At 36.5% G+C, this 20,398-nt stretch overlaps 1 long non-coding RNA gene across 3 annotated transcripts in view, besides 1 other annotated feature; it reads left to right on the forward strand.

The window, feature by feature from the left end:
• The window catches only part of CALCRL-AS1 (CALCRL and TFPI antisense RNA 1), a 544,253-nt gene that overhangs the window by 315,677 nt on the left and 208,178 nt on the right, over window positions 1–20,398 (forward strand). The window lies entirely within an intron of this gene.
• Window positions 19,573–19,867: a silencer, noted in NCBI's record as "tiled region #15572; K562 Repressive non-DNase unmatched - State 24:Quies". NCBI's record gives its function as "represses a minimal TATA promoter and a strong SV40 promoter by Sharpr-MPRA in K562 cells {active_cell/tissue: K562}" and the evidence as "EXISTENCE:reporter gene assay evidence [ECO:0000049][PMID:27701403]".

The raw sequence follows: 20,398 nt of genomic DNA on the forward strand, positions 1-20,398 counted from the left end.
TGTATCCTGAATCTCTTTGGTAGTATGGTAAAGCTCATGGATATTTTCTCAGAATAGTGTTTTTAAAAATCCAAAATGAAATACGTAGATTACTTAGGAAATAGACTATATGGAAATTCAGTTATCCACATATTAAAAACAAATTTGTGATACAATAATACATGTCCTTCTTTATAAACACATTTAACTAACAAGATCTGTGCAGGTCTAATTACTGTCATAGCTTTGAAATATTGGTAACGAATAAAGTTATTTTTAGATTACTGCAACAATCACAAAGTGATATGACTATACATATGATTTATACTGGTGACATATTCACAGATATTACAAATAATATCGTGATTTATGGCCACATTTATAATGAAAAGAGAAAGTACATTTCAGCCAGCAGTTAATAAAAATAAAGATTTTCTTTTGCATTCAAGTTTATGGTTCCCTTGAATTTTGTCCATAAACTCCTAGGGGAAAAGGACCCTTGCAAGATGGGTCATTCTCAATTCATCTAGGAAAAAAAAATGCTTATCTTGTAACCTGATAAATATGGTACATTGTAAAACATAGGAGACAGGATATGAATCAAATGTGTTCTGGAAACCATAGAATAAATTGTTCTCCCCCAGGACACCTCATAACCTAACACCTGTGACAATTAAAGCGGAGCTGATCTAATAGTTTACTGGAAATTACTCACAATGCTCCACATTTTCCTGACTCATCATACATTTGTATTCATTATACTTTTAAATTTCTTTCCACATGCTTTGCAATTGTCTACTTGTCATTTTATGTATTAATTGATAACTTTTGATTCTTTAGAACCATTTAGAACCAGTTAGTTTTCAGGTCCTCTCTTCATGTTGTTATGCCAACTCCATTTGAGGAAACGGATATTCAAAGATCACAAAAACAAACCAAGGTCATGGAGCACAGTTCAGTGTCATGACTCCCACTCAGTTCCATATTTCTGGTTCTGTCTCCTGGACTTACTGGCCATAGCTGCAAAGAGGCAGGGAGCCAATGAGACCTGACCACTATTTGAGATAGCTGACTGGCAAATCAGCTGAATGAAAAGAATTTTTAAAAAAGGATTCCATTTCAGTTACTGCAGACAGACTATTCAAACAGGAAGCAGAGTATAAAAGCATGGACTACTTTCATCACGGGACAGAAGAGATAATAGACTTTCAGAAAAGGATGAGATCTATATTTTGTAGATTAGACTTTGTATAATAGGATTTTTTGCCAATTCCTTCTTTCAGAAGCCATTATTTTTAAACCATGTTTTCATCTTGAAGCTTGTTTCATTTGCCAGATTCTTTCCCCAAACCCTGGTTATCAAGGGGCAGTAGGAGGTTCTTTGAAGGGCTTTATTATACTGATTTTACTATGTTATCTCTTGCTGGGATGTGCAGCCTGATAATCTGATATGAACACTGATTTTCCTAGTCTTAACTTGATAATTTGGTAACAGTGTGACATCGACATAAATTTTCAAATTATCTATTTCATTATTTATTAACTGAGGATTATATTTGCCTTATTTTTTCAAATACAGGGAAGAGAAACAAATATTTATTTACCACCTACTATGTGCCAAGCTTTCATAATATAGAAGAAGCCAGCAGTGTAAAACAGCAAAGAAAGTAACACAACTAACTGGGCAGGCAGAGGTAGAAGAAAGGAGAGTGAACCTCTGTAAATGTTACAGCTATCAGGGAGCCAGATTTCAACAGTGAGGAGGTGTAGAAACAAAGACACTATGGTACAGGAAGAACCCATGATTATCTTGTTGGGGTGTCAGTATCTGCAAAATATCAGTAGTAGCAAGAATCACAGTATTTTTGTTATGCGGAGTGCTGAGTTTTCTTCTCTAGCTTTTTCTAGGGCTGTAGAAATGTCTACAGACAGCTGCCGATGGATAATTTAAGAAAGATGGAAGACAGGGAAAATCCGTCTAATGTGGAACAGAACACTGCATTTTTATAGGATAAAGAAGAGGGAAAGCCATATTTACTGTCAGTTTCTGTATTTCATACATAATATCTACATTTGGAAGGTCAGACGAAAGCAGAAAGGAGAACTTCCCAGTTTCTATGTGAAAGGGAGTGGGAGGACCCTTTGAGTGAAGAAACTCTTCATGAGAACCAGTGTCTCCAGAGAAAGAAAAACTGACCCACACACTCTGATGTTTAATTCAATGCTTAGGAATACAGCAGATATTTATTTTTGTTTTTATGCCAGGAAATAAAGAATTTGAAATGACCTGTAGAACAACAGTGAAGCCAGACTCAAAAATGTGTCCATTAAAGAAGCTTATTATGACTTCTGGCAGAAATGTTTTGCAATTTCACTCAGCAAGTCAAAAATAAAGACTGTTAGTTACTTTCAGGAGTGGACCAAGCTTCACAGGACCATGCAGTATAATATTTGGGCTATATAAAATTAGCTATTTTCATGGTTATTACTAAGAATTATTAAGTTGTGTCTTGTTAAAATAGCAGGTAAATGTGAGAGTTAGTATGCATAAGAAAAGCATGAAATAGCTCTATGGCAAAAAAAGAAAAAAGTAAAAAAGGCTTAACTATTTAATACTCAGTTTTCAACTGGGGACAGGAAGGAGTAACCTAAGTGAATATGGGATCATCTAATTCATTATCCAAAACTGGATACTTTTTTTTTCTTTTTCTTTTTCTTTTCTTTTTTCTTTCTTTTTTTTTTTTTTGTTTTTTTAATTTGACACAGAGTCTCACTCTGTCACCCAGGCTGGAGTGCAGTGGCGCAATCGCAGCTCACTGCAACCTCCGCCTCCCGAGTTCAAGCGGTACTCCTGCCTCAGCCTTCCAAGTGGCTGGGACTACAGGTGTACACCACCACGCCCAGCTAATTTTTGTATTTTTAGTAGAGACGGGATTTCTCCATGTTGGCCAGAATGGTCTCGATCTCTTGACCTCGTTATCCGCCTACCTCGGCCTCCCAAAGTGCTGGGATTACAGGCGTGAGCCACTGTGCCCGGCCGAAACCTGGATACTTTTATTTGGTACAAATGTTCAGGCTCCTCTTTAGTATCTTTGGGGACTGAGGAAAGAGTACAAATGGAAGCTCATATATTTGACGTTTTTCATTCAAGTATAAAAAAGAAGCCACGTAATCATTAAATAGCTTTCTATTTCTGTCTTTACTAATAATTATTCCTAAAACCCAAGAAAATTCATATCAAATTTAGAATTCCCAGAATCCTGAGTCCTTGGAGTTTTGTGAAAGAACGTGCTGGTATAGGGTGAGCTGCCCTCTGATCCCTTACTCGTGGCCCCTTACTGTTCAACCCCAGCTCCTTCTTGCACTGGTGAGGCCCCTTGTGTTTATGTAAGTCCACACTTCAGCCTGTGTATCTAAGTTGTGTGCACTTCTTTGTGTAAACAGCCATCTTATGGCCAATCCTTGAAACTAGGGGTGGATATAGAAGAGGCATCATTTATCATCAGAAAGGGAAATCCAAGCAAAACATGCATGCAGTTTCTGAATATGAGCATAAGCCATTTGGGTTTTAAGCTCTGGGGTCCCAGGTACCAAGGATATGGTTATAAGTGTTATAAAGCTTTAGGTGGACAGATTTCCTTAGTTTGAATAGCTCATCCATGGAGTGAGGGCCAGCTAGAGGAAGACCAAGGTGGGAATCTCTAAAGTGCACAGACAAAGGCAGGGGTCCTTTCTTCATGAATCTGTGGCTAGAACTGCGAATGCTAACCTGGAATTGATGCCAGAACAAGGCAACAAACCTAGACTCTTGGGAAACTGGGATGCATGGTCACCCTAAATTTATGGTGCACATGCAGTATAAACTGCAGTTTGGGTGAGCTTTCTGGACACAAAATCAGAAGGACAAAAATGAGGCTGACTGCATTTGTTACATGAACATGAAGAAATACAATTTTAAAGTGACCAAAGTGAACTTTAAGGAGAGAGTTTTCAAATTTGTGGAGATTGCTTTGGCTATCTATTTGGGCTCTCTTTTGGTTCCATATGAATTTTAGGATTTTTTTTTCTAAATCTACGAATAATGACATTGGTATTTTGATAAAGATTGCATTGAATCTTTAGACCTCTTTGAGCAGTATCATTATGTTAATAATTCTTCCAATCCATGAGGCCAGGATGTTTTTCCATTTGTTTGTTATCTACAATTTCTTTCTTTCTTTTTTTTTTTTGAGACAGAGTCTGGCTCTGTCCCCCAGGCTGGAGTGCAGTGGCACCATCTCGGCTCACTGCAAGCTCCGCCTCCCAGGTTCACGCCATTCTCCTGCCTCAGCCTCCCGAGTAGCTGGGACCACAGGTGCCCACCACCACGCCCTGCTAATTTTTTTGTATTTTTAGTAGAGACAGGGTTTCACCATGTTGGCCAGGATGGTCTCGAACTCCTGACCTCGTGATCCTCCTGCCTCGGCCTCCCAAAGTGCTAGGATTACAGGCTTGAGCCACCGCGCCCGGCCCATCTACAATTTCTATCATCAGTGTTTTGCAGTTTTCCTTGTATTGGATGTCTATGAAGAAAACGAAAACAATCATAAACAATTATCCAGAATAGACTTAAGCAAGATGACAACTTTTCCAGAACACTTATTTTGGAAAAGAAAATACTATTCGATTTAGAGGAATAATGTTTAGTTTGATTGTTCATTATTTTGTTTCATTATGAGGTAATGGATACACAGAAAATTTCTAATAAAATGATGGAGTGTTATGGATTGAATGAGTATATGCTATCATAATTTATATGTTGAAGCCTGTCTTAGTTTGTTAGTGCTACTGTAACAAAATATGTGAGACTGGGTAATTTATAAAGAACATAAATTTGTTTCTTACAGTTGAGAGGCTGAGAAATCTAAGTTCAAGGCACTGGCAGGTTCCGTGTTTTGTGAGGGTCAGTCTCTGCTTCTCAGATGCCTTTTTGCCTTGTTACTATGTCCTCACGTGGAAGAAAGCATAAGGCAAAGGTGACTACTAGTTCCCTCCAGCCCTTTTTAAAGTCACTGATACCATTCATGAGGGTTCCATCCTCATTATTTTTCTTTTTCTTTTTTATTACACAGGATCTTGCCCTGTCACCCGGACTGGAGTGCAGTGGTGCAATCACAGCTCAGTGCAGCCTTGGCATCCTGGGCTCCAGGGATCCTCCCTTTTCAACCTTTGTAGCTAAGACTATAGGCAGCACCCTCATGATTTAATCACTTCCTAAAGGCCCCATATCTTAATACTATTATATTGGGCATTAAGTTTCAACATGATTTTTGGAGGGGGACACAAACATTCAAACCATAGCAAAGCTCTGACCCCATTGTGGCTTATTTGCAGCTGAAGTAGATGAGGTCTCAAAGGAAGTAATTAAGATTTTATACTGGGATTTGAGTCTAGTTATAGGTCCAGAAGCAGAGAGGATGGTAGGGGTGGTTCCTGAAGAGATGCAGCATTGTCTTACGTGTCAGCTGCCACAGGGGATGCCATTACAATTTCCTCAGGGAATGCAGGATTTATTCCCCGCTAGGAACTAGAAAAACCAATATTACTGTGGGTGGGGAGGCCTTTTTGCTGGGGTAAGAAGGCCACTTTCAGTAAGGGTGGGGAGGCTTCTTCCACTGGCAAAGAATACTTAACAGAATTTAGAGGCTCAATGTCCCCAGCTTCATCAGGGTCTTCTCACAGGTCTCCATCTCTTCTTACAAGATCTCATTCTATCCCAAGAAATGTTGTCACTTTAACAGTAGACATTCTGCAAAGCTGGCAGTTTAACTTTTATTGTAATTTGCCCAATTGTAGGATGAGGTTCTGCATTTGATTTTTCAGCAATGTCAGCCATGTGGCTACAGGAAATAAGGCTTTTCCCCAGGGTACACCTAAAAGCTCTTAGTTCATTTATGCAGCATAGAATCTGGGAGCTTGACTCTCTAAGCTCATTCTTTTCTTTTACCACTTTGTCAGAAAACATAAGGAGCAACCAACCAATGTTATTATTATTTTTTAAGTTTTCCAAAAATGCTTGAAAGTATCATAAAGTCACTTAGTTCTGTGCTTCTTATAAGTGATTGATTAGGAGTATCCAATACAGTCATTTTATGTATCTCTATAAACATTTCAAGCCATAGACTATCAGTAGTGTCTTCCTTACTAGAAATAGAGTCATTATGATCTTTAAGTCTAATCCGATTGGAGAGCCAATTCCAGAAACTCCAGACCCAATTCAGAAAACTCATTCTTAAAATTCTGTTCTTCTGGAATCACTCTTGGTATTAAAATTCGTATTAGGTCAGAATTCTCCAGAGAAATAGAACCAATGGAATGTTGTGTGTGTGTGTGTGCGTGTGTGTGTGTTTATAGACATACATATATGTAATCTCTATACACACATACATATGTAAAGAAATAAATTTATTATGAGGGATTGACTCACACCATTATTGAGACTGTGAAGTTTCATGTTCTGTCATCTGGAAGCTGAAGGCCCAGGAAAACTAGGCATGTAGTTCCAGTCCAAACTAAAAGGCCCAAGAACAAGAGGGTTAGTTGGTGGTATAAATTCTGGTCTGAGTCCAAAGACCTGAAACCCAGCAGCACTAATATTCCAGGGTAGGAGAAGATGAATGATCCAGTTTAAAAAGAGAGAGTGAATTTTGCCCATCCTTCGTCTTTGTGTTCTGTTGAAGCCTTCAATGTATTGGATGTTGTCCAGCCACATTATTGAGAGCAAGCTTCTTTACTCAGATTATTGATTTAAATGCTGATCTCTTCCAGAAAAACCCTCACGGACACACCTAGAAATAATGTTTTACCAGTTATCTGGGTGGTATGGTTTGACTGTTTCCCCCAGGGTTCATGTGCTGGAAACTTAATCCCCAATGCAACAATGTCGAGAAGTGAGTTTGTTAAAAGGTAACTAGGTCTTCTCATGAATGGATTAATTGTGGTATTCTAGGAGTGATTTGTTATTGAGAGAGTACATTTAAGAGTGAGTTTTGCCCTCTCTTCTGCACTCTCTTTTTCCACCGTGGAATGGCACGGTAAAAAGTCCTTGCGAGACACTGGCACCTTGATATTGATCTTCCCAGCCTCCTATGAGGAGTAAATTTCTATTTTAAATAAATTACCCAGTCTCTAATATTCTGTTATAGTAACATAAACAGACTAAGACACTGAACATCCCTTAGCCCAGACAGGTTGATATATAAAATTAACCATTACAAGTGCACTCACAAGGTGAAACTCTGATGCAGTAGGATTAGTGTCTTTAAGAGGAGACACCAGAGAGCTTGCTTCCTCTCTCTCCACACGTGCAGTAAGCACATAGTGAGAGGGTGACCACCACAAACTAAAAGAAGGGGCCTCAGAATAAAACCTACCTTATAAACATATCAATCTTGGACTTTCCAGCCTCCAGAAGTGTGAGAAATAAATTTATCTTGGTTAAGCCACCCAGTCTATAGTATTTTTGCTATGGTAGCGAGAACAGACTAAGGCATGAAGGAAAAGAGACCATGGACTGAATATATAAATATATTTTCAGAACATTTAAGATAATAATGGATAGAAGATCACATATATCTTGAAATAAGATGAAGAGAAAGAGGTCAAAGGAAACTTAAAATAACAATGTGAAGGACAAATTGAAATAGCAAAATATTCAAGAACCACCTTAAAATAAAATTATAGGATTAAATATTTGGAAGTGCAAGAGGGAAGAGAGATCTATTCCATTTGGCATTTGAATATAGATGGAATTTAGAGACACTAGAAAATCCATTCAACTTTGCTGAAAATGTAGGCTGAGGTTTTTAGTTGTGGTTTAAGTACTCTCAGATTGCCCAGAGATGAGGTTTAGTTTCCATTAATCTACTATGTCACTGAAATTACATGTAAAAATTTTATTTGCTTACAATTGTAATTCAAAGAAACAAAAAACTGTTATCTCTTTCCCACGCAAAAATTAACAAGGTGGATGACCCTTTCTATAGGGTTCAACACTTAACAAGTGACAATTTCAAAGCATTCTGGCCTTTTGGAGCCAAGATAACAATTAACAGCTAAAGAAGACATACATGCAGCCAACAAACATAGGAAAAAGTGCTGAATATCACTAATCATTAGAAAAATGCAAATCAATACCACCACAAGGTATCTCACACCGGTCAAATGGCTATTGTTAAAAAGTCAAAAAATAAATAAAATTAAAATAATAGGTGCTGGTGAGATTACAGAGAAAAGAGAACACTTATACACTGTTGGTGGGAGTGTAAATTACTTCAGCTACTGTGGAAAGCAGTTTGGAGATTTTTCAAAGAACTTAAACCAAAACTACCATTCAACCCAGCAATCTCTTTATTGCATATATACCCAAAGGAAAATTAATTTTTCTACCAAAAAGACACATGCATGCATTTGTTCATCACAGCAGTACTCACAATAGCAAAGAAATGGAATCAACCTAGATGCCCATTAATGGTGGACTAGGTAAAGAAAATGTGGTACATATACATCATGAATGATATGGTTTGGCTCTGGGTTCCCACCGAAATCACATGTCGAATTGTAATTCCCAGTGTTGGGGGAGGGACCTGGTAGAAGGTAATTGGATCATGGGGGCAGATTTCCTGCATGCTGTTCTCATGATAGTGAGTGAGTTCTCATGCGATCGTATGGTTTAAGAGTGTATGGCACTTCTCCCACCCCTCGCTCTCTCTCTCTTTCCTGCTGCCATGTGGAGAAGGTGTATACTTCTCTTTTGCCCTTCCGCCATGATTGTAAGTTTCCTGAGGCCTCTCAGTCATGCTTTCTGTTAAGCTTGCAGAATTGTGAGTCAACTGAACCTTTTTTCTTCATAAGTTACCTAGTCTCAGGTAGTTATTTATAGCAGTGTGAGAATGAACTAATACAGAAAATTGGTACCAGGAAAGTGGGGCATTGCTATTTTATATACCTGAAAATGTGGAGGTGACTTTGGAACTGGGTAATGAGTAGAAGACTGGAAGAGTTTGAAGGGCTCAGAAGAAGACAGAAAGATGTGAGAAAGTTTGGAACTTCCTAGAGACTTTTTGAATGGTTTTGACCAAAATGCTGACAGTAATATGAACGATGAATTACAGGCTGAAGTGGTCTCAGATGGAGATGAGGAACTTATTGGGAACTGGAGTAAATGTAACTTGCTATGCTTTAGCAAAGAAACTGGTGGCATTTTGCTCCCACCCTATAGATCTGTGAAACTTTGAACTTGAGAGAGATGATTTAGGGTATCTGACAAAAGAAACTGCTAAGCAGCAAAGCATTTATGAAGTAACATGCCTGTTTCTGAAAGTGTATGCTCACATGTGTGAACAAAAAGATGACTTTAAACTGGATTTTGTATTTAAAAGAAACACAGAGCATAAAAGTTTGGAAAATGTGCTGCCTGGCAGAATGTGGTAGAAAAATAAAAACACATTTTCTGGGGAGAAATTCAAGCCTGCTAGAGAAATTTCCATAAATAAAGAAGAGCCAAAGGTTAATAGCCAAGACAATAAGGAAAATGTCTCCAGGTCACTTCAGAGACCTTCACAACAGCCTCTTCCATCACAGGCCCAGAGGTCTAGGAGGGAAAAATGGTTTCATGAGCCAGGGCCAGGGCCCAGCTGCTCTGTGCGGCTTTGAGACATGATGCCCTGTGTTTCAGCCACTCCATCCCCAGCCATGGATAAAAGAGCTCAAGGTGCAGCCCAGGCTGTGGCTTCAGAGGGTGCAATCCCCAAGACTTCATGGCTTCCACGTGGTGTTGGGCCTGAATCTGTGCAGAAGGCAAGAGCTGAGATTTGGAAACCTTTGCCTAGGTTTCAGAGGATGCATGGAAATATCTGAATGTTCGGGCAGAAGTCTGCCGTGGAGATGGAGCCCTCTAGGGCAGTGTGCAGGGGAAATGTGAGGTTGGAGCCCCCACACAGAGTTCCCACTGGGGCACTGCCTAGTGGTGCTGTGAGAAGAGGACCACTGCCCTCCAGACCTGAGAATGGCAGATCCATTGACAGCTTGCACCATGCATCTGGAAAAGCTGCAGGCACTCAATGCCAGCCTGTGAAAGGAGCCATGGGGCCTGTACCCTACAGAACCACAGGAGTGGAACTGCCCAAGGACTTGGAAATTTATTCCTTGTGTTAGTACCTCCTGGATGTGAGACATGGAGTAAAAAGAGATTATTTTGGAGCTTTAAGATTTAATGACTGCCTTGCTGGATTTCAGGCTTATATGGGGCGTGTAACTCCTTTGTTATGGCCAATTTCCCCCTTTTGGGACAGGAGCATTTACTCAATGCTTCTACCCCATAGTGTCTTGGAAGTAACTAACTTGTTTTTCATTCTACATGTGCTTAGGCAGAAGAAACTTGCCTTATCTCAAATGAGACTTTGGACATGGACTTTTGAGTTAATTCTGGAATGAGTTAAGATTTGTGGGTACTGTTAAGAAGGCATAATTGGTTTTGAAATGTGAAAATGACATGAGATTTGGGAGGAGCCAGGGGTGAAATGATATGGTTTGGCTTTGTGTCCCCACCCAAATCTCATGTTGAATTGTAATTCCCAATTTTGAAGGAGGAACCTGGTGGGAGGTGGGTGGTTGGATCATGGGGGCAGATTTACCCTATGTTGTTCTCATGATAGTGAGTTAATTCTCACAGATATGATGGTTTAAAAGTGTGTGGCACTTCCCCCTTCACTTGCTCTCTCTCCTCCCACTATGTGAAAAAGGTGCTTGCTTCCCCTTTGCCCTTCTGCCATGTTTGTAAATTTCCTGAGGCCATTCAGTCATGCTTCCTGTTAAGCCTGTGGAACTATGAGTCAATTAAACCTCTTTTTTTTTTCATTAATTACTCAGTCTCAGGTAGTTCTTTATAGTAGTAATGTGAGTATGAACTAATACAATGGACAACTACACAGCCATAAAAAAAAATCATGTGCTTTGCAGCAGCATGAATGCAGCTAGAAGCCATTATCTTAAACAAATTAATGCAGGAACAGAAAACCAAATATTGCATCTTCTCACTTAATAAGTGGGAGTTAGACAATGAGTACACATGGACACAAAGATGAGAACAATGGACACTGGGGACTACTAGAGGAAAGTGGAGGGAAGAGGGATGAGTGTTGAAAAACTAACTGTTGGATACTATGCTCACTATCTGGGTGACAGGAACATTCATATGCCAAACCTGAGAAACACAAAATGTACCCATGTAACCTGCGTATGTACCCCTGAACCTCAAATAAAAGTAAAACAAAGCAAAACAGCTTTGAGCCTTGCCTATAAGCCCATTTATTACTCCTGGTGTTCCAGAAGTGGCATAATTTTAAAGAAGAAAACATGAGAAATTTAAAATAAAATGCTTCCTGGGGCATAATGTCATCCTACTCCACCTTCCAATGATCATTTTTTGATTCCTTTCACTGCAAATTACTTCAAAAGCATGGTCTACACACCTCTTCTCCACTGCTCTCTATGTTCTATTCATATGCCATTGCCACACTGTTGTAATTATTGAGTTACATAGTGGTTGACAGGGCTTATCTCCCCCTCCTCTCTTCTTTATTTTTTTAGAGCTTTCATTGCTATTTATTTTTATTTCTTCTCATGGAAACTAAAATCAGCACATCTAGTTTCAGAATAATTACCTACTCTTTCTTTTTTTATTTGGATCACATTTATTTTATAATTTATACAGGGGAAAATGGACATCTTTATAATCTTCTTATTCAAGAACATGGTGTATCTTTCTATGTATTGATAACCTCTGCTGTGTCCTTTAGTAGTATTTAAGATGTATTTTATATAGTTACTCATTCTTGTTTAATTTGTTCCTATATATTTTATCTTCTCTAGTGTCATTATAAGTTTGCTTCTTTCTTTCCCACTGTATCTTCTGTTATATGTGTATATAAAAAATTGATTTGTGTACATTTATTTTATATGTTGGTACATTTCTGAATTCTAGTGCTTTCTCCTCCTTTTCAAATTTCATAATTCTATTTTGTTTAGCTTTATTTGTTTGCATTGTCTAATTACATTGACTGTTTCATCTAGTTGAATATTAAATATTAATTTATGATATCTAAGCATTCACATCTTGATCCTAACTCCAGGAACAAAGATTTCAATATTTCTGTCTTGATATAATACTGACATTGGGGCTGATTTAAGTATCTCTGATCATGTAACCAAGTTTCAGTAAATTCTTTACTTGTTTTTATTTTTTAAAATTAACTGTATTTGTTGAATTTTGTCAAATGCTTTTCTACTATCTTCAGTGATGGTTATTTGGTATTTTTTATCCTTAATGTTAGTAATATAATGCATTAAATTAATAAATTTTTAAATTTTGTTTCATCCTTGGTTTCTTGAAATAAATCTTACTTGGTCATAAAATATCTTGTAACATGCATTAAATTCTGTTTGCCAATATTTTACTTACTTTTTATTGATCAATATTCATAATCGTACCTTATAACTGCAGCCCTCTTAGTCTTTTTACTCATGTCTTTGTTTCTTTGTCACTCCATTAGGGAACCCACCTGATCACCTGATCAAAGGCAATACTATTCCTTTACAATAAGTAGTTGCTGAATGACTGAATGAATCTGTAGGTAGATCTAAGGTTCAGGTAAGGTTCTTTATTTATTGTCCCACCACACTTTTCAAAATAAGAATAAAAATGAAAGAAAAATAAAATAAATTCCCTTTGCATTTGAGTTGAAATAGGTTGCTTGTTTGTTGGGTGTATCCTTCTTTTGTAGAGCATGGATGTGCAGCCAGGAATGCAGACTTTGTAAAACTCTCTGAAGTCAGCAGATACATGGCTCCACTGTGAGACCTATAGTGTTCCTACCATACACAAGCAAGTAAAGCAAATGGTCCATGTGAGGGCGACATGAGATAGATGTGGATTTCTGTCATCTTACTTGTTATAATTTCATCCTTTTTCTCTTGCATGCTGTAAGCTAGTTGCACACTAGTTTGCATACTGTTTATAACACTTTTGGAATATAGCATGGGAGTTTTCATCCAAGGGAGGTGTTGTATCTGGGTCATACTCTGAAGTTCTTTGATATAGCCTCCAATTGGAACACAGAAAATTTCATTTTGTGCTTGAAAACAATGATACCAGATCTAACTCAACTGCTTTAAATAACTACATCTACTTCTGTGAGCTATGTTGAAAAACTATTTGTGTAGTTTGAACTGTAGCTTTGAATGCTGTCTTTCATAGATTCAAGAGAAAGTTGCATAATGCAAAGGATTTAGTTTAGAAATGTCAGTTTGAAAGTAAACTGAAACATATTAGATTGTAGAATACCACTTAAACTGCTGAAGCCCTATGAAGGAATGCTTTCTTATATTGTAATGTTCCTACTATTGTGCTTTTGAAGTAGAAGATGCTCAATACACTTTATTGATTTAAATTTATTTAATAATCTCTTCTCTGTTATAAGATAACATTATTAGCTGGACATTGGGAATTTATTACCATTGGTTAGTATATATTATACTTAGATTTTGTTTTGTTTTGTTTTTTAACAAAACAAAGCTGACAGCAAATACACAATAGGTAGCATCTGTATTGACTGGTTGGTGCCTATGTAATACTACTACATATTTTCACTTTCCCCTCTGAATGCTTGAGTGTTTTTTTGTTTTTTGGTTTTGTAACTAAATACAAGTACTTTGCTCTTATATGATGTTATTCTTATGTTATTTTTATCAAATATCAGCATTAGTAGGTCATTTTAATGGTTTCCCTGCCTCCTCTGAGTGCTTATAGTCTAATTATAGTTATATTTATAGTTATATTTAATGCCTACCTTAATTTCATAGACAAGTGTATTTAATTAACATTCTTGATAACAGTATGTACTAAATATTTCCTGTATTCTGAATATCACAATTATTTTGCTGTCAGAATGATGTTTACCTTAAAAATAAATGTCCAAACCCAACTGTGTAGATAATAATAATGCTCACATATTTTGTGCTGTACTTGCACCAAGTTTATATTTAAGCTGATATCTTTTCAGATTTGTTTCTTGAGTTTATGATATTATTATTTTAAATAATTCTCCATGTAACAAACTGATGGGTATTTTAGGACTTACCTTTTTAAAAATAAACTCTAATAATTGCAGATGTGAATGTCTGGTGTGCATAAAAGAAAAGTCATGGTCTTCTGAAGGTATTTATTCTCAAAGATTCCTAGAGCTTGTCAACTTGAGAAAATAGCTTATGTTTTTGAGCCACAGTATTATTACCCATGAAAAGAGCGTAACATTTTAACAAGCTTAATACTATGTCAATAATATAGTAAATATCAATATACTGTGGCTATAATACACTGAATATCTCAAACTGACATTTCAAACTCATAAAATAGATCTGAAATAAATATTTTTCATATTCTGAAAGTGAAACATTAGATTTATGAAAAGCCTAAGACATAAGCATTTCTTACATATCATCAACAACTATATGAAAATCAATGGGTAAATTAGGGAGAATAGAAGAAATAAAACTCCAAAGAAGAATAGAGTGTCACAGTGATGCGTGTTGCAAATAAACATTATCATATTGCAGATATTGGGAGCTAAAAATAATATCCACATGTAGAGTTTTTAAAGTATTGTTTAACAAACACTTACCCTTACTATCTGCATCGAGCTTTTATATTCTTACATTGTTCCTGTTCTCTCCACATGTACTTCTGTGAGTTAAGATGTAAGACTTTAAAATGGTGTAAAATTTAGAAAGATTAGGGGATCATTTCTAGTGCAACCTTCTGGGTTACTCATTTTTATTTGTTTATTTTCTGTGAGACATTTTACAACTAAGTTGTGAAAAATGAATAATAATACAAATGCAAATTCCTTGTTTTCAGTAGAATGCAATTGATTATTGCCCACAGATAGACTTTTTTTTTTTATCTATTTGTCAATCCACTTCAGCATTTCTTATCTGCTTGTATTTGTGGGGTATTTTGAATTCTCCTTGGAATGTTATAACATCTTACAGGCTCCCTCATTAGCTAATGAGTTAAACAAAATCTTTGAAATGCGTTCATTTTATATTTGTATGAGAATCATAATTATACCTTCTTTTTAAGATGGATTAAAGACTTAAATGTAAGATGCAAAACTATAAATAAAGAAAATCTAGGAAAGATTCTTCTGCCTAGGCAAATAATTTGTGACTAAGTCCTCAAAAGGAAATACAACAAAACCAAAAATAGACAAATGAGATAATTAAACTAAAAAGCTTTTACACAGCAAAATAAATCATCAACAAAGTAAGCAGATGACCTACAGAATGGGAGAAAATATTTGCAAACAATACATCCAACAGAAGGTAAATATTCAGAATCTCCAAGAAACTCAAACAATTCAACAAGAAAAACCAAATAACCCTATTAAAAAGTGGACAAAAGACATGAACAGACATTTTTCAAAAGAAGTCATACAGGCAGTCAACAACCACATGAAAAAATTGCTCAACAGCGCTAATCATCAAAGAAATGCAAATGATAGCCACCGTGAGATACCATCAGAATGGCCATTATTAAAAAGTCAAAATGCAACAGATGTTGGTGAGGATGTGGAGAAAAAGGAATGCTTATACACTGTTGATGGCAGTAAATTGGTACAACCTTTATGAAAAACAGCATGAAAATTTCTCAATCAACTAAAAATAGATCTACCATTCAATCCAGCAATCACAGTACTGGGTATCTACCCAAAGGAAAAGAAACTATTATATCAAGAAGACACCTGTACTCGTATGCTTATTGCAGCACTTTTAACAATAGCAAAGTCATGGAATCAACCTAAGTGTCTATCATCTGGTTATTGGATTAAAGATGTGATATGTGTGTAGGTATAGATACATATATACATGCACACACTATGGAATACTACTCAGTCATAAGAAAGAATAAAATTATGTCTTTTGTGGCAACATGGTTGGACGTTGAGACCATTATCCTAAGTAAAATGACTTAGAAACAGAAAGTAAAAAAAAAACAAAAAACAAAAACACATGTTCTCACTTATAAGTGGGAGCTAATTGGTGGGTACATATGAACATGCAGAGACGAATAATAGACACTGGAGACTCTAAAAGGTGGGAAGGTGGGAGGAAGGTAAGCGAAGAAATACTACCTATTGATTATAATGTATACTTATTTGAGTGATGGTGACACTAAAAGCCCAGACTTTACAATACATCCATGTAACACAACTGCACTGGTACCCCTAATTATAGATAAATAAAATAAAATAAAGATTCTCTTTAAACACTTCTTTCTCTTTTTTTCTTTCTGCCATTTGATATAAAAATACACAATGGAATCTGTAATAGATAAAGAAAATAAGTCATCATACATTTTCAAGTTTCTGGGCTCCTTCCCCTTCTTTTTAAATAAAAAGGAATTGGCATGCATTGTAGTTTATTTGGATTTTTTAAGTCTTACATGTTTTTCAAGAAAGTGAACAGTGGATTCCCCTGATAGAGCAGTGTTATATGCTTTGACAGAGTAATGTACCTCATGAATGATATAATCTTAGGCGTCTCTTTCTTATTGGCTCCGAGAAGTGAATCCTAAGAAGCAAAGACATTTTTTTCATTTTGTTTCTCTTTTTAAAAAATTTTTCACCTATCCCCTTTAATAATTTCGTGTTTGCTTGGGGTTTTGGTTTGTTTTCATTAGGAAATTATTTTGCATTGGCGGCAGCAGTGATTGGGAATTTAGTTTCATTCTCTGATATTTGTTGATCATTGTAAATGGATTAATAAATTATAGAGCTCTATTCTTTATTGGATGAGAGACAAAGAGATTCTGATTTGCTAGTCATTTTTTCTTTTTGTCTATTTGTCTATGTTAACCCCAAATTATTTAACATTTTTATGCCCATCTGGAACGAGAATGGCTCTGATGGACTCTGATAGACTAATAAACTTTTGTTTTTCTGAGTTGCTTGTGTTTTTGAGCTGTGGCTAAAATTGTAGACTGAATCTATACACTCTTTGTATGTCTACATATAATTTGGCATGGCCTTTACCTCTCCTTGTGTGAGTGTTTAATATTTGCCTGTCTTTGGGGATTATTAATGACACATAATCTCTTAAATAGCTTCATTTTTATTGGCTTACAAAGATAAATAAATACTTACCTGAAATTAATATTTCAGAAAATAATGAAATTGAACTTCTAATTACTTTAAATGTGCTATACTTAATATCTATATTCATTAAGAAACATGCTAAGAATCTGAGAAACTAAGAAACATTTAAAGAATGCAAGTTTCTTATTAAGGTAAATCACTGGCATATGATATTAGCATATTAATTTTGGTTCAGTAAACACAACTGTCTTTTTCTCTCATTTATTAGTATTAATGATCACAGAGCATACATTATATCAACATGGGTTTGTTTGTCATAAACTTATTTAGGCTTACTGATCCAGTAAGCTAACATTACTTCTACATAATGTTTAAGATCATAAATATATATCTGTGTTCTACTGAATTGAATTATGGTCATGACTCATTTTTAATTTCAGCAGTAATTATATTTTGTGGTACATCAACTTGAAGAAAATTTCCAAGATCTTTAAGTGATTTAAAATCTTGGACTGATATTAAATCTTGGACTGATATCCATTGAGTTAATGGAAAATCACTGGATATATGGTTAATTTCTGTGTAAGAAAATATTGAACAATTCCTTTCTAAGCATAATTTTAAGTTTTTGCTTGCCATTTTTATGTATATAGAATCATTTTTTCTTTGGGTGGCATTCATTTTTGCCACTTTGTAATGGTGTAAAAGGGACGTATGTAGCTGTAGAAAATCATTTTATTTGTATTCATGAGCTTTTCTTATCTGCTAAATTGCTTGCATATAACAAACAGTTCTCAATTTTTATACCCCAGTTCTCTCTGAAATAGAAGTTGGTTACTTTGATTAAAAGTTACAATTAAGAAAAATGCTTGAGACTACAGTTAGGGGCAATAGTGACAGACTTTTGCTTTGTGTTTGCTTATTTTGTTTCTGGGTTCCTTTATACTTTGCGGACTTAGTGAGGACCTCAAAGAGCTTCTCTTTCTGGATTCTGTTTATTGGTACTTATTGTATTAGTAAATAAAAGAGAAATTTAGAAATATATTTATATTTTGATCAATTTGAAAATAGCCATGAGAAACACATTGCATATTAACAAAAATAATATCTTAGTGATAATATAAAATTGGTTATTACCTCCTGGGTTCTCTGAGATCTCTTCTAAATTACTAGTTTGTACAGAATAATAAAGAACATAATGGAGAACAAAACTTGCAAAATAAATTTTATTTCCATTAGTTTATAAGACCTGTCTGCAAAGAAGCCACGGAATATGTTAAAATGTTAGCAGAGTTTGTGCAATCTTGTTTGCCCTCAGGGTTGGTTCCTTGGTTTACTGAATATATTCAATATATTGAAACAATATATTATTTAATTTCCGTGTAATCTGCCTAGACAGAATAGATTTCAAGTCTTATCAAATTAATTTTTTATACTTTAGGTTGACATTGCTTATGTCTTTGATCAAACAAAAACAATAACAAAACCATAAAAATGACCACAAAATTTCCCCAATTATGAAGAGACTAAAATGTTTTTAAAAATGTGTTACCAGGTACTTCATTTTAAAATATGTACTGTTTCTTTGATTAAATAGGTAAACAAATATTGTTTCTCAGGCTCCCATAATCATATCTTAAATGTCCAAATTTCCTTTGATATCTTTTAAAAATTTTTGCCTTTCTAAAAATCTGATTTTATATATATACAAAAAGCAAAATAAAATTTCAAGACATATTTTACACTTAAAACTACTATTGACATTTGCCAGAGTGCCCTGGAAATTGCAAAAAATGTATTCTTTCACCTGATAAAAAATATGCAAGAGGCCGGGCATGGTGGTTCACGCCTGTAATCCCAGCAATTTGGGAGGCCGAGGCAGGCAGATCACCTGAGGTTAGGGGTTGGAGACTAGCCTGGCCAACATGGTGAAACCCTGTCTCTACTGAAAATACAAAAATTAGCCAGGTGTGGCGGTGCACGCCTGTAATCCCAGCTACAAGGAGAATCACTTGAACCCGGGCAGTGGAGGTTGCTGTGAGCCAAGATTGCGCCACTGCACTCCAGCCTAATTGTTTGCTTTATGGAAAGTCCTTAGAAGTTTATCATTGCACTCCATTTCCATAATATATTTTAATCTTTGAGGAAACACTGGTAAAAAAAATTTGCCAAGTTTTCCTATAGTTATCACTGTTCTGGCAGTGCTTTGCCTGATGAGATTAGACAACAATAAAATGTTATCAGTCATAATTTCAGTTATTATTTAAAACATTGTTTGACTACAGTCTTACTTCTTTAATTTGAATCTAGTATCTATTACACCAGTGGTCCCAAACGTTTTTGGCACCAGGGACCAGTTTTGTGGAAGACAGTTTTTTCAGGGACGAGGCAAGGGATGGTTTCTGGATGAAGGGATGAAACTATTTCACCTTACATCATCAGATATTAGTTAGATTCTCATGAGGAACTGACAAACTAGATCTCTCACATGTGCAGTTCACAATCGGGTTTGAGCTCAGCCCCACCTCTGCCTCCCTCCCATGCTTGTTGGCACCCAAAGTCCAGAAGGGGCAGAGGTGGCAGGGGGCTGGTGTGTCAGCGCTGCCCTGAGTGCATGTACACCCTGCCAGATTGTGACAGCACCCAGGCTTGGCCACAACTCTGCTCTGCCTTGGAGTTGGCACTGGGAGTAGGGACAGGCCAGGGAGTGGGAGCAGGCACTTCCAAGCCTGTGGGGGAAGGGGACTTCCCAAGCCCCTGAGAGTGTAGGGATGCCAGGTCTGGAGCCATGGCTGGGCAGCTGCAGCTGCGCCCAGGGGCACAGGAATCCTGCCCTGCCTACTCAGTAGGGGGCAGGTCTCCTGCCTGTTCCTGGCTGCCATCGGCTTCAAGGATACCGCAGCCCCGGCTGCAGCCAGCATCTTAGCAGAGGCTACTCCAGACGGGCTGCCACTGCCATCACTACTGTGCAGCCAGGGTTCCTAAGAGGGCATAGACCCTATTCTACATCAGTGGTTCTCAACTGAGACAGACTTAGTCATGAAGGTTTAGAAAACTAAAGATAATACTTAGGTCTTATGCCAAACTTACTGCATCACTTTGCTTAATGTTCTTTGTATAAAAATACATCTCAAGATTATTATGTTATAGCTCAATGTGTATTTCATTTTGTCTATTTTTAAAAAATGGATTTGTTGTTTTTCTTCCTACAGGAACAACTACATTTT

Source organism: Homo sapiens, chromosome 2 (genome assembly GCF_000001405.40).
Source record: "Homo sapiens chromosome 2, GRCh38.p14 Primary Assembly".
In the NCBI taxonomy this organism is placed as follows: Eukaryota; Metazoa; Chordata; class Mammalia; order Primates; family Hominidae; genus Homo; species Homo sapiens.